This window comes from Homo sapiens, chromosome X (genome assembly GCF_000001405.40).
Source record: "Homo sapiens chromosome X, GRCh38.p14 Primary Assembly".
In the NCBI taxonomy this organism is placed as follows: domain Eukaryota; kingdom Metazoa; phylum Chordata; class Mammalia; order Primates; family Hominidae; genus Homo; species Homo sapiens.
This window is the reverse complement of record NC_000023.11, coordinates 133,052,604-133,068,159: the sequence shown is the minus strand read 5'-3', so window position 1 is coordinate 133,068,159 and position 15,556 is coordinate 133,052,604. Positions and strand designations below refer to the sequence as shown.

At 39.3% G+C, this 15,556-nt stretch overlaps 1 protein-coding gene across 1 annotated transcript in view, besides 1 other annotated feature; it reads left to right on the top strand.

Annotated features, from left to right (window-relative positions):
• USP26 (ubiquitin specific peptidase 26) overlaps positions 1-15,556 on the top strand; it is a 73,942-nt gene that overhangs the window by 28,950 nt on the left and 29,436 nt on the right. The window lies entirely within an intron of this gene.
• Positions 12,904-13,405: an enhancer, noted in NCBI's record as "NANOG hESC enhancer chrX:132188783-132189284 (GRCh37/hg19 assembly coordinates)". NCBI's record gives its function as "activates a minimal SCP1, AML or CMV promoter by ChIP-STARR-seq in primed H9 embryonic stem cells {active_cell/tissue: H9 hESC(primed)}" and the evidence as "EXISTENCE:reporter gene assay evidence [ECO:0000049][PMID:30033119]".

The following is a 15,556-nucleotide window of genomic DNA, read 5'->3' as shown; positions in this document are numbered from 1 at the left end:
TTTTTCTGTTCCCATGTTAATTTGCTTAGGATAATAGCTTCCAGCTCCATCCATATTGCTGCAAGGGACATCATTTCATTCTTTTTTATGGTTACATAGTATTCTATGGTATATATGTACTACATTTTCTTTATGCAGCCCACCATTGATAATAACAAGTGTTTAGGCTGATCCCATGTCTTTGCTATTGAGGCACTGCTTCTTTAAGGAACTGTTTTCTTTATCTATTTTTTTAATTCATTGTTAACATAAGCTGCTCTTACTTTGTAAACTTTACTTTAAGTTCTGGGATACATGTGCTGAATGTGCAGGTTCGTCACATAGGTATACATGTGCCATGGTGGTTAGCTCTACCTATCAACACATCATCTAGGTTTTAAGCCCCACATGCATTAGGTATTTGTCTTAATGCTCTCCCTCCCTTTCCCCTCACTCCCTGAGAGGCCCCTGTGTCTGATGTTCTTCTTCCTGTGTCCATGTGTTCTCATTGTTCAACTGCCAATTATGAGTGAGAACATGCGGTGTTTGTTTTCTGTTCCTGTGTTAGTTTGCTGAGGATGATGGTTTCCAGCTTTATCCATGTCCCTGCAAAGGACATGAACTCATTCTTTTTTATGGCTGCATAGTATTCCATGGCTATATGTGCAACATTTTCTTTATTCATTCGGTCATTGATGGGCATTTGGGTTGGTTCCAAGTCTTTGCTGTTGGAAATAGTGCTGCAATAAACATATGTATGTGTGTGTCTTTATAGTAGAATGATTTATAATCCTTTGGGTCTATACCCAGTAATGGGATTGCCAGGCCAAATGGTATTTCTGGTTCTAGATCCATGAGGAATCACCACACTGTCTTCCACAATGGTTGAACTAATTTACACTCCCACCTACAGTGTAAAAGAGTTCATATTTCTGCACATCCTTGCCAGCATCTGTTGTTTACAGACTTTTTAAAGATTGCCATTCTAATTGGTGTGAGATGGTATCTCATTATGGTTTTGACTTGCATTTCTCTAATGACCAGTGATGATGAACTTTTTTTCATATGTCTGTTGGCTGCATAAATGTCTTCTTTTGAGAATTGTCTGTTCATATTCTTCACCTAATTTTTGATGGGGTTGTTTGCTTTTTTCTTGTAAATGTGTTTAAGTTCCTTGTAGATTCTGGATATTAGCCCTTTGTCAGATGGATAGACTGCAAAAATTTTTTCCCATTCTGTGGGTTGCCTGTTCACTCTGATGATAGTTTCTTTTGCTGAGCAGAAGTTCTTTAGTTTAATTAGATCCCATTTGTCAATTCTGGCTTTTGTTGCAGTTGCTTTTGGTGTTTTATTCATGAAGTCTTTGCCCATCCCTATGTCCTGGGTGGTATTGCCTAGGTTTTCTTCTAGAGTTTTTATGGTTTTTGAGTTTTACATTTAAGTCTTTAATTCATCTTGAGTTAATTTTTGCATAAGGTGGAAGGAAGGGATTCACTTTCTGTTTTCTGCATATCACTAGCCAGTTTTCCCAGCACCATTTATTAAATAGGGAATGCTTTCCCCATTGCTTGTTTTTGTCAGATTTCTCCAGATCAGATAGTTGTATATGTGTGGAGTTATTTCTGAGGCCTCTGTTCTGTTCTATTGGTCTACGTATCTGTTTTGGTACCAGTACCATGCTGTTTGGGTTACTGTAGCCTTGTAGACTAGTTTGAAGCCAGGTAGCATGGTGCCTCCAGCTTTGTTCTTTTTGCTTAGGATTCTCTTGGTTATGTGGGCTGCTTTTTGGTTCCATATGAAATTTACAGTAGTTTTTTGTAGTTCTGTGAAGAAAGTAAATGGTAGCTTGATGGAAATAGCATTGAATTTATAAATTACTTTGGGTGGTATGGCCATTTTCATGATTTTGATTCATCTATCCATGAGTGTGGAATTTTTTTCCATTTATTTGTGTCCTCTCTGATTTCCTTGAACAGCGGTTTGTAGTTCTCCTTGAAGAGGTTCTTCATGTCCCTTGTAAGTTGTATTCCTAGGTGTTTTATTATCTTTGTAGCAATTGTGAATGGGAGTTCACTCATGATTTGGCTCTCTGCTTGTCTATTATTGGTGTTAGGAATGCTTGTGATTTTTGCACATTCATTTCGTATCCTGAGAATTTGCTGAAGTTGTTTATTAGCTTAAGGAGATTTTGGGCTGAGACGATGGGGTTTTCTAGATATACAATCATGTCATCTGCAAACAGAGACAATTTGACTTCCTCTCTTCCTATTTGAATACCCTTTATTTCTTTCTCTTGCCTGATGGCTCTGGCCAGAACTTCCAATACTATGTTGAATAGAAGTGGTGAGAGAGGGCATCCTTGTCTTGTGCCAGTTTCAAAGGGAATGCTTCCAGCTTTTGCTCATTCAGTATGATATTGGCTGTGGGTTTGTCATAAATAGCTCTTATTATTTTGAGATATGTTGCATCAATACCTACTTTATTAAGAGTTTTTAGCATGAAGGGGTATTGGATTTTATCGAAGGCCTTTTCTGCATCCATTGAGATATTCATGTGGTTTTTGTCATTGGTTCTGTTTATGTGATGGAGTACATTTATTGTTTTGGGTATATTGAACTAGCCTTGCATCCCAGGGTGAAGCTGATGTGATCATGGTGGATAAGCTTTTTGATTAGCTGCTGGATTCAGTTTGCCAGTATTGTTGAGGATTTTTGCATTGATATTCATCAGGGATATTAGCCTGAAATTTTCTTTTTTTGTTGTGTCTCTGCCAGGTTTTGGTATCAGGTTGATGCTGGCCTCATAAAATGAGTTAGGGAGGAGTCCCTCTTTTTCTATTGTTTGGAATGGTTTCAGAAGGAATGGTACCAGCTCCTCTTTGTATGTCTGGTAGAATTCGGCTGTGAATCTGTCTGGTCCTGGGCTTTTTTTGGTTGGTAGGCTATTAATTACTGCCTCAATTTCAGAACTTGTTTTTGGTCTATTCAGGGATTTGACTTCTTCCTGGTTTAGTCTTGGGGCGGGTGTATGTGTCCAGGAATTCATCCATTTCATCTAGACTTTCTAGTTTATTTGCATAGAGGTGTTTATAGTATTCTCTGATGGTAGTTTGTATTTCTGTGGCATCAGTGATGATACCCCCTTTATCGTTTTTTATTGTGTCTATTTGATTCTTCTCTCTTTTCTTCTTTATTAGTCTGGCTAGTGTTCTATCTATTTTGTTAATCTTTCCAAAAATGAGCTCCTGGATTCACTGATTTTTTGAAAGGTTTTATGTGTCTCTATCTCCTTCAGTTCTGCTCTGACATTGGTTATTTCCTGTCTTCTGCTAGATTTTGTATTTGCTTGCTCTTGCTTCTCTGGGTCTTTTAATTGTGATGTTAGGGTGTCACTTTTAGATCTTTCCCACTTTCTGCTGTGGGTATTTAGTGCTATAAATTTCTCTCTTAATACTGCTTAGTAGCTGTGTCCCAGAGATTCTGGTACGTTGTGTCTTTGTTCTTATTGGTTTCAAAGAACTTTGATATTTCTGCCTTCATTTCATTATCTACCTAGTAGTCATTCAGGAGCAGATTGTTCAGTTTCCATGTAGTTGTGTGGTTTTGAGTGAGTTTCTTAATCCTGAGTTCTAATTTGATTGCACTGTGGTCTGAGAAGCTGTTATGATTTCTGTTCTTTTGCATTTGTTGTGGAGTGTTTTACTTCCAATTATGTGGTCGATTTTAGAATAAGTGTGATGTGGTGCTGAGAAGAATGTATATTCTGTTGATTTGGGGTGGAGAGTTCTGTAGATGTCTATTAAGTCTGCTTGGTCCAGAGTTGACTTCAAGTCCTGAATATCCGTGTTAATTTTCTGTCTTGTTGAGCTGTCTAATATTGACAGTGGGGTGTTAAAGTCTCCCACTATTATTGTGTGGGATTATAAGTGTCTTTGTAGGTCTCTAAGAACTTGTTTTATGAATCTGGGTGCTCCTGTATTGGGTGCATGTATATTTAGGATAGTTAGCTCTTCTTGTTTCATCAATCCCTTTACCATTATGTAATTCCCTTCTTTGTCTTTTTTGATCTTTGTTGGTTCAAAGTCTGTTTTATCAGAGACTAGGATGGCAACCCCTGCTTTTTTTGCTTTCCATTTGCTTGGTAAATATTCCTCCATCCCTTTATTTTGAACCTATGTGTGCCTTTGCACATAAGATAGGTCTTCTGATTACAGCATACCAATGGGTCTTTATTCTTTATCCAGTTTGCCAGTCTGTGTCTTTTAATTGGGGCATTTTGTCCATTTACATTTAAGGTTGATATTTTTGTGTGTGAATTTGATCTTGTCATCATGCTGCTAGCTGGTTATTTTGCACATTAGTTGATGGAGTTTTTTCATAGTGTCATTGGTCTTTATATTTTGGTGTGTTTTTGCAGTGTCTGGTACCGGTTTTTCCTTTCCATGTTTAGTGCTTCCTTCAGGAGCTCTTGTAAGGCAGGCCTGTTGGTGACAAAATCCCTCAGCATTTGCTTGCCTGTAAGGGTTTTTATTTCTCCCTCACTGGTGAACCTTAGTTTGTCTGGATATGAAATTCTGGGTTGAAAATTCTTTTATTTAAGTATGTTGAATATTGGCCCTCACTCTCTTCTGGGTTGTAGGTTTTTTGCAGAGAGATCCACTGTTAGTGTGATGGGCTTCCCTTTGTAGGTAACCTGACTTTTTTCCCTGGCTGACCTTAACATTTTTTCCTTCATTTCAACCTTGGAGAATATGATGATTATGTGTCTTGGGGTTGCTCTTCTTGAGGAATATCTTAGTGGTGTTCTCTGTATTTCCTGAATTTGAACGTTGGCCTGTCTTGCTAGGTTGGGGAAGTTTTCCGTGATAATATCCTGAAGTGTGTTTTCCAACTTGGTTCCATTCTCCCCATCACTTTCAGGTACCCCAATCAATCGTAGGTTTGGTCTTTTCACATAGTCCCATATTTCTTGGAGGCTTTGTTCATTCCCTTTCATCCTTTTTTCTCTAATCCTGTCCTCACACCTTATTTCAGTAAGTCGATCATCAATCTCTGATATCCTTTCTTCCACTTGATCGATTCGGCTGTTGATACTTGTGTATGCTTCACAAAGTTCCTGTGCTGTGTTTTTCAGCTCCATCAGGTCATTTTTGTTCTTCTCTAAACTGATTATTCTAGCTAGCAGTTCCTGTAACTTTTTTCAGTGTTCTTTGCTTCCTTGCATTGGGTTAGAACACACTCCTTTAGCTCAGAGGAGTTTGTTATTACCCGCCCTCTGAAGCCTACTTCTGTCAATTCATCAAACTCTTTCTCTATCCAGTTTTGTGCCCTTGCTGGAGAAGAGTTGTGATCATGTGGAGATGAGGCATTCTGGTTTTTGGAATTATCAATAATTTGTGCTGTTTTTTCCTCATCTTTGTGGATTTACTTTGGAAGGGGTTTTGTGGCGGGGGGGTCCTTTTTGTTGATGTGGATGTTATTGCTTTCTCTTTGTTAGTTTTTCCTCTAACAGGCCCCTCTTCTGCAGGTGTGCTGCAATTTGTTGGAGGTCCACTCCAGACCCTACTTGCCTGGGTATTACCAGCGGGGGCTACAGAATAGCAAAGATTGCTGCCTGCTCCTTCCTCTGGAAGCTTCATCCCAGAAGGGTGCCGGCCTGTTGCCAGCCAGACCTCTCCTGTATGAGGTGTCTGTTAACCCCTCTTAGGAAGTCTCTCCCAGTCAGGAGGCACAGGGGTCAGGGACCTACTTGAGGAGACAGTCTGTTCCTTAGCAGAGCTCAAGTGCTATGCTGAGAGAACCCTCCTTGTCAGGATCCACTGCTCTCTTCAGAGCTGGCAGGCAGAGATGTTTAAGTCAGCTGAAGCTGTGCCCACAGCTGCCCCTTCCCCCAGGTGCTCTGTCCCTGGGAGATGGGAGTTTTATCTATAAGCCGCTGACTGGGGCTGCTGCCATTCTTTCACAGATGCCCTGCCCAGTGAAGAGGAATCTAGAGAGGCAGTCTTACCACAGCCACTTTACCATGCTGTGTTGAGTTCCACCCAGTCCTTACCACTGAAGGGAAAACCACCTACTCAAGCCTCATTAATGGTGGAAGCCCCTCCCCACGCCAAGCTCGATTGTCTCAGGTCGACTTCAGACTGCTGTGCTGGCTGTGAGAATTTCAAGCCAGTGGTTCTTAGCTTACTGGGCTTCATGGGAGTGGGACCTGCTGAGTGGGGAGGGAACTTTTCAGGGGAATGAATGGTTCTGTCTCGCTCAGGTTCCAGGCACCACTGGTGAGGGGGAACCTCCTGCAGCTAGCTCAGTGTCTGCCCTAACAGTCGCCCGGTTTTTTGCTTGAAACCCAGGGGCCTGGTGGTATAAGCACAGAGGGAATCTCCTGATCTCTGGATTGCAGAAACCCTGGGAAAAGTGTAGTGTCTAGGCTGGATAGCAAAGTCCCTCATGGCTTCCTTTGGTTGGGAAAGGGAGGCCCCCCAGCTCCTTGCACTTCCTGGGTGAGGTGATGTCCCACCCTGCTTCTGCTCGCCCTCTGTAGGCTGCACCCACTGCCTAACCAGTCCCAGTGAGATTAACAGGGTACCTCAGTTGGAAATGCAGAAATCACCCGCCTTCTGCGTTGGTCTTGCTGGGAGCTGCCGACTGGAGCTGTTCCTATTCGGCCATCTTTCCCCCATAAGCTGCTCTTATTAGGGCAAACATTTCACATGCCATTCCTCACTTTACAATCATTACAATACAGATTGTAATTTTGAAAGTGACAGATGGGGGCGTGTCAGCATGTCTTCCATACTTAAAAGTGATTGAGAGAAATAAGACCCTCAGCACACATTGCTATTCATTCTGCCTCATTGGAGCTTTCATGAAAGACTCTCAAATGACCATGCTTTTGCATATCTGGATTTAAGAAGAAGAGAAGGTGTTCCAGAGTACAGTATCTTAGGACTTGAGAAATCATTAACTTCAACCAACCAACCAATTAATAAATTCCTGTTATAGTCTTTCTTTTTTTTAACATGTGTCAAGGTAATGAGCAAACTTTTTTGTTATTAATATTTAGAAAAACCACCATAAATACAATTGTTCTTTGGTATCTCTGGGGGATTGGTTCCAGGAATCCCCACAGATACCAAAATCCTTGGATGCTTGAATCCCATATGTAAAATGGCATAATATTTGCATATAATCTACCTATGTCCTCCTGTGTACTTTAAATAATCTCTAGATTACTTAGAATACCTAATATAATACAGTGACTACATATCAATTCATTCCTGAAGATTCAAAGTTTTGCTTTTTGAAACTTTTTGGGATTTTTTTTCTGAATATTTTTGATCCTTAGTTGAATCCACAGATACAGAACCCATGGAATACAGAGGACCAACTATTTAGCTTTAGTGTATTCTGAAACTGAGTCTTAAACTATTCTGATAATATTAAGATAAACTTAGCTTTTACAGAGTTTGGAAAGGGTTTGCCTTTAAGATTGCCCCAGTATATTTGTTAGTGAATTTTTTACATGAATTAATGCAACTTTAAAAAATATTAATTTTTTTCTCTTATGTTTTCTTTAATTATCTTTATTTTAAATAGATATTTTAGAATAGTAAATTATCTTTCACAGCAGTGCCTCCTGGACTGATAATATAGTACCCAATTTCTAAATGTAAAGATTTTAAAGTGCAGTTATAATGTTCTATATAAGCATTTGAAACAACTGTAAGAAGAAGGATTTTTCTTTTTTGCTATCCAGGAAGAAAAAGTAAATTATTAGATCATTAGCATTAGAAAAATAACATTTAAGTAAAATATTTATACTGTGGTGAATAATGGTTTCTTTTTATTTTTGTCTAATTTCAAGGCAAGATCTAGTGTCAGATTTTAGTACTTTCAGCATTAACCTACTGAACAGAATGCATTTCAACAGAGCAGAACCATAGGGTATTAGGAATTATTAGGACTCCTGTATGTCACACTGTCTCCTGCTACAGCAGAAGAGGGCTTCAGGCTCTTAGAGAAGTGCTTACATAAAAATAAAAACTATTCTCATACACTAAATCTTCATTTCACTGCAGTATTGAATACCAGTTTGATTAATGCCTATTTCTGCCATTTAGCATCTTGGACTTGGGAAATTTTGGGTTGCAGGGAAGGATTTGGCAATGGCCTGTTGTCAGTCTTCTGTGCTCTTATACTAATCTGCTGAACAGGCTGCATTTCAACAGAGCAGAACCATAGGGTATTAGCAATTATTAGCACTCTTATACCTCCAAATTATTAGCATTTTCTTGTATCGTAAGTCTGAGATCATTCATTCCTTTGTAACAATCTGTTGGAGATCATTGTCAGTGATTTTAAGGAAGAGGAAGAGTGGAAGGTAAGCAAGCTTCTGTTAAACAGAAGTCCTTATCTAGGTCCTGAACCCGTTTATGGAGTAGTCTGGATCTTTGAGGGTTTGAAGTCACTCAGAAAAGTGGCCTGGCTAGCCAAGAACTTTAGGGGGAGAGAAGTCCTAAGAATTAATTTAATAGACTGTTTTGTACCTAGAGCGATCCTGTGATCCCAGGGAGCCTCCAAATCTAGGATGCTTGGATTCTTTTTGACATTGTCAACTTTGTCACCAGATTTTGGTTCTGTGAAGTAATGGCACCAACAACAATAACAATTAGCATTTGTTGAGTGCTTAATATGTGCCAGCCAAAGTGCAAATACGTTAAATTCTTACAGCTACCTGGTAAGGTAAAGTCTAGTTCTCAGTGTATAAATGTGAGATAAGATGCTGAGCCTTAAAGAGGTTGGGTTATTGTTCATCCAGTGAGGCTTTTGGATTTAAACCACAGGCATTGGAACAATAGAGCAGTTGCTCTTAACTGCTATGTGTGTTATCATGCCTCCTGTTACAATAAAATGATTGAGAGAGACTCAACTTGTATTAGGAGCTCCTGAAGTTTTTTGTCTTACTTTGGTAAAAGTATTATTAATATGCTAGGAGAGGGGATGAAAGGAGATCGTATGAAATGCTCAGTTAAAACCAGAGATGGCAGAAATGGAGGGGAAGAGAAAAGAGACTGGGCACAGTGGCTCACACTGTAATCTCAGCATTTTGGGAGGCCGAGGCAGGTGGATCACTTGAGGTCAGGAGTTCGAGACCAGCCTGGCCAACATTGCAAAACCCTGTCTCTACTAAAAATATAAAAATTACCCAGGTATGGTGGCAGACGCCTGTAATCCCAGCTACTAGGGAGGCTGAGGTGGGAGGATTGCTTGAGCCCAGGAGGCAGAAATTGCAGTGAAACAAGCTGAGATCACGCCACTGCACTCTAGCCTGGGCAACAGAGTGAGACTCTATCTCAAAAAGAAAAAAGAAAGATAAAGAACAATAAATAGAAAATGGTTACCAACATAGTAGTTATTAATCCATCTATGTCAATAATCACTTTGAATGTGAATTGTATGAATATGTAGATTAAAAAAGACTGCCAAAGTAGATGAAAAACTAAGGCCCCAAATATATGTCGTCTAAAGATTTAAGTACTTCATAAGGAAAGAGATGGAGGAAGATAAATCAAAAGAAACATGGAGTTAACTATATCATTTTCAGACAGAGCAAACTTCAGAACATGGAATTTTTTCAGGGATAAAAGTAGGCATTGCATAATGATAAAAGGGGTCAATTCACCAGTAAGACATAACAATCCTTAATCTGTGTGTATCTAACAATAGTTTGTTGAAATGTGTAAGACAAAAGCTGATAGAACTGCAAGAAGAATAGACCTCCACTATTTATACTTGGAGGTTTTAACACACCTCTTTAATTAATAGATCAAGCAGGCAGAAAATCAGTAATGTGTGGTTGACTTGAACAGCACCATAAATCAACTTGATCTAATTGACATTTATAGATTACTTTGACAACAGTAGCATACATATTCTCAAGCTCACATGGAACATTCATCATTATAGAACAGGTTCTGGTCCATATGAAACACCTAAACAAATTTAAAAGAATATATATCATGCCTGTAATCCCAGCACTTTGGGAGGCCAAGACAGGTGGATCAAGAGGTCAGGAGATCGAGACCATCCTGGCTAACATGGTGAAACCCCGTCTCTACTGAAAAAAAATACAAAAAATTAGCCAGGCATGGTGGCGGGCACCTGTAGTCCCAGCTACTTGGGAGGCTGAAGCAGGAGAACAGCGTGAACCCGGGAGGCGGAGCTTGCAGTGAGCCAAGATCGCACCACTGCACTCCAACCTGGGTGACAGAGTGAGACTCTGTCTCAAAAAAAAAAAAAAAAAAAAAAAAAAAAATATATATATATATATATATATAATGTAAAGTATATTCTCAGACCCCAATGAAATTAAAATTAAAATAACAAAGATGATTGTAAACTCCCAAAACATTTGGTGATTAAACAGCACATTTTTAAGTAACAGCTGGGTCAACAACAGAGTGTACAGATAAATTAGAAAGTATTTTAAACTAAGCAAAAGTGAAAATACAACTTACCAAAATCTGTAGGGATGTAGCAAAAGCAATGCTTAGAGGAAAATTTATAGCGTTAAATACGTATACTAGAAAAGAAGAAAGATCTCAAATCAATTAGTTTAGCTTATACTTTAGGAAACTAGAGAAAGAAGAACAATTTAATCCTAAGGCAAACATAAGTAAAAGAGACAATATGAATTAAAGGGGAAATCACTGAAATTAAAAATAGGAAAACAATAGAGAATGAGAAAATCAACAAAACCAAAATCTGGTTCTTTGGAAAGCTCTGTAAAATCGACAAACTTCTAGCAAGGCTAACAAATAAAACAAAGCCACAAATTACTAATACCAGAAATGAAAGAGAGAGGTCATCACTACTGATCCTGTGGTATATTAGTTTTAGTTTTAGAAAATCTAAAACTTTCTAAAATAATAAAGTCTGTTTAAAATATTAAAACTTTTTATACCTAATGCATGCAGGGCTTAAAACCTAGATGAAGGACTGATAGGTGCAGCAAACCACTATGGCACATGTATACCTATGTAACAAAGCTGCACATTCTGCACATGTATCCCAGAACTTAAAGTAAAATAAAAAAAAAAATTAAACATTTTTAAATGAATAGTGATTGATCAGGAGTTTGCTGAAGCATAGGGGTCTCTATGTAGATGATAGAGTGCATGCAAAGGCTGACTCATAAAAGATCTTGTTTAGTTTATGTATCAGTGTCTAGCATGCTATGGCTGCAAGGGATAGTAGAATAAAGACTCCAGAGAGCCTGGGTTACTTAGCCAGACCTGTGAATGCATTTGGGGGCCATGTTTAATTGGCACTCACCAGTCTTAGAAGCTCTGTTGAATTAATATGTTTCACAAGAATTTAAGCGAAATTTTTCAAGGTGAAGACTGACTTGCCTTTTATTTTCCCTTAAGAGGAAATGGGCCGTTGGTAGTAAAAGGAAGAAAGATTGAATATAGTGACAACAGCCATAATAGCAGCTGATAATGAACAGTGCCTATCATTTGTTTTTTTCAACTGCCTTATGCCAAGGTTCTTTGAGCAAATAACTTTTGAATGACTTTTAAAATTTACATTAAGGATGACTCACCTGAGGTATACCTTATGATTGTATGTAATTTCAAATGCTGAATTCCTGTCCCAAATCTCTGCCTGTGAGTCACAGGGCTGCTAGTCTAGCTTCTAACAAAGAGAAATCCCCTAATTGGCTCTTCCTAGGAATCTCTAGCTTTGGGTTTTCAGAAAATAAAATCATATGGGTCACAAAGGACTGACGGTGGGGAATGTCAAGGGGTCCACAGATAGGAAGAAGGAAAAGGCCCAAACCAATTGTCATCACACCTTCCCTATTAGCAGCCAGGGATTGTGAGAGAGAAGAGTTAGAAAATGGGAGGGCTCAGATATTTGGGGAGGAGGATCCAGACATCCACAGTTTGATGTACCTGAACTAATATTGCCAAGATTTATTTGGCTCTTTGAAAAATTTGCTATTAAACACTACTGTGCACTTACTTATGTTCTACATGGGCAGTGTGTTTAATAGATCACTGCAGGACCCTGATTATACCCCTTTTGCTTATTATATTCTGTGGATTATTTCCACGTAGAGAAAACAAGTCTCACTGGAACAAAATAATCATACTCACTCCCAACCCAAAAGGGCATTACCTCTGTTACAGACTGAATTGTATTTTCCTGCAAAATTTATATTTTGAAGCTCTAACCCCCAATACGACTGTATTTGGAGATAAAGCTTTTAGGAGGTAATTAAAGTTAAATGAAGTCATAAAGGTAGGCTTCTAATCTGATAGAATTGGTGGCCTTACAAGGAGAGATCTCTTTCTCTTCCCATACGTACATACACACCAAGAAAAGGCCACAAGAAGACAAATGACCACATCTGCAAGTCAGGAAGAGAGGCCTCACCAGAAACAAAACCTTGCTGGACTTTTTCTTGGACTTTGCAGCCTCCAGAACTGTGTGAACATACGTTTCTGTTGTTTAGGCAACCCAGTCTTTGGTATCTGTTATGGCAACCTGAGCTGACTATGACATCTTCCATCTTTTTCTCTAGCCCTGGAGGATCATTAGAGGCAATAGCTACTGAGTATTGCCTACATGTAAAGGACAAATAAATTCCCTCAGTGGAAGCTTGGTGTTTACATGTTTAAAGGGCAGTTTGGCTTGTCTCTTTGTCTCTTTGTGTTTTAATAGCAGAATGGCATTTCACGTAATAATTTAACTCCATGGCTGACTCTAATCTGGGTCTGCCAATGGGGGTTTGCATTCCTTGCTTGTGATTTCCATCACCTGACACCTAATGTAATGATTTCCACTGCAAGGGCCATCTCTGTGTCTATGAAGCTCTAATCTCATTGGCAACCTTGTGATAGCTGGGATATCCTATTCAATCAGGAAACTAGTGCTGTGTATAATTAACTACATCCCTTCCCCAACCCCAGCAACTGTTATACATCACTTCCCCTAAAACTAAGTGAAAGAAATATTTTTCCCACTTCCTTTTCAGTAAGTGCAGACAGCCACTTTAAGCTTTTTTTGTCATTCAAAGTATTCATCATGAGCATGTATCTGTTGAAAATTTCAGATGCATTCTTTTAAGGATGTCATTAGTACCTGAGCTCCCTCACTAGCTACTGTACTTCAGGTCAGTCATTGTAACTGGAGTTCCAGCCATCTGCATTTAAGCAGCAGCCATCTCTGTGATTGTCCTCTAGGACTACAATAGATCTTTAAGCTGATAAATAGTACATGTAATTTTACTGTCAACACTGCAGTTCATTGGCAGTACCTAAGAACCAGTTATTCTGTAAGTTAGGCTGATTCAATAGCCTTATGGGGTAATAGGATATGGGACTGGGATCTTGAGGGCAGGGTTTGCTATGATTATTTAGGTTGTATCGTTAGGCATTATTACACCAAATAATTTATCCAAGTGGATGGTCTTCAATTTTCAAGTCACTCAGATTTTGAGTGACTGATAAATTAAGAGAATGAGGTTCATTTTGGGGAGTGAGAAGAAAAAAAGTACATCAGAAGCTTGGAAAGGGCCAGAATCTTAAAACCAGCTAAGCCCATAATGCATTCCAGCGAATTGTTAAGATGCTATTATTATGTTAAGAAGTCCTCTGCTTTCCTATAAAGGTCTCTGAGAGTATTTTCTGTTGGCCATTAAGCAGAGCTAGGCAAACCAGACAGCAAATGTGACTTGAATGCTCAGTGCTGTAAAACTATTATGTGAATCCATTTCAGTTTAGGTATGGAAGATGATGGTGCCTCAGTGCTGTTTGCATCATTAAAACTCAGGAGGGAAAATGTAAAGTGAGTGGAAAAGAGGAAGGTAAAATAATTAATTGGAGCTGTAAGACCAATGACACTCCCACCCGGTCAAACCCCATCTATAGTTAAAGAATTAAATGCTGTCTAGAGGACTCTGAATGAGTCACTTCTTGAGAATCTCTGAAAGGCTGTTAACCTTTTGCCCGTATGTAGGAAGCATAACCCCTAGAACATATTCTGACTGTAAGGACTAGAAAATAGAAATCAGGATTAGGCAGACATTCTTAGAGCTTATCCAGGAGAGTTTAGTTACTGAAACAACAAATATCCTCATTACCCAAACTCTCCTCTCTAGCCCAGCACAACTCCTTGTACTTTCTGACTTTTCTGTTGCTTCCCATCTCTGGAATGTGCCCTCCCAGCCTTTCACTTAATGAGTAAAAAGGCTTAGCCCAATGCTAAGGTAGACTGGAAAAAGGAGACTGTACTTAAGTAGGTACTTTTTCTAGTCTTGGTTCAAACACTTAAAACCTCTCTGACCTGAATTTACCTATCTGACAAACTTGGTTGTGAAACTAGGGATCTCTTATATCCCATCATCACCAAGAATTCTTAAATCCCTACATTTACCAACCTAAGAGATCTCCCTGCTTTGTGGCCCGTTGCCGTGCAGGATTTACTTACGTCTAGAAAAGAACATTAACTTGGCTCCTGAGTTTTCACATTAAAAAATTAATCCTATACTCTTTGCTTGTCTCAGGTATGAATCTGTTTTATACCAGCAGGGAATATTAGCCCTCTATACTTTTTTTTTCCTTTTTTTTTTTTTTTTAAAAAAGAGTCTCACTCTGTTGCCCAGACTGGAGTGCAGTGGTACAATCTCAGCTCACTGCAACTTCTGTCTCTCAGGTTCAAGTGATTCTCCTGCCTCAGCCTCCTGAGTAGCTGGGATTACAGGCATGCACCACCGTGCCTGGATAATTTTTGTATTTTCAATAGAGACAGGGTTTCACCGTGTTGCCCAGACTGGTCTCAAACTTCTGACCTCAAGTAATCCACCCGCCTTGGCCTCCCAAAGTGCTGGGATTATAGGTGTGAGCAACCACGCCAGCCCTCTGTACTTTTTCTATTCATATTTTAAGAAGACATGAGCTCATATTATACTCATGGTTAATATCCTGCTTTCTTAACATTATACTTATGTCATGGGCTTCTTAGAATAACCGTATATTCTGAAATGAGTACTGTAGACATGGTATATGAGTGGGGTCACTTTTGATTGAAGGTGTCAGAAAAACAATTCGAAGTGGCTTTTAAGTAAGGGAATTTATGGCATGTTACTGGGAAATTATTTGGTGACACTTAGTTTCACATATAGTATTTTCTTTCTTTTTCCCAGCCCTGCTTTCTCTGGTTCTCTGAGTCTTGGCTCTTTCCTCACACAGGAAGATGCCTTTTCCATGTGGCAATAGGAGACAGCTACCAGTCCTCTCACCCCCCTCCCCATCTACATTATAAGGAGAGACCTTCAAACTGGAAGGGAGATCTCATTTTCCCCACATGGCTTGGATGCCCTGTTGTCCCATGATGGGCAGGCAGCGCTCTGATTGTCTGCTGACTAACAAAATCAACAGCAGTCTACTATATTCTATTCCTACTCTGCTCAGCAATCTTCAGACTCTCCCTGAAATGCACATGGCAGTCCCACTGCTTTTCCTGGGACTTTTTGTTAAACAACTTCCTGGCTGGAATCACAAACACACTCA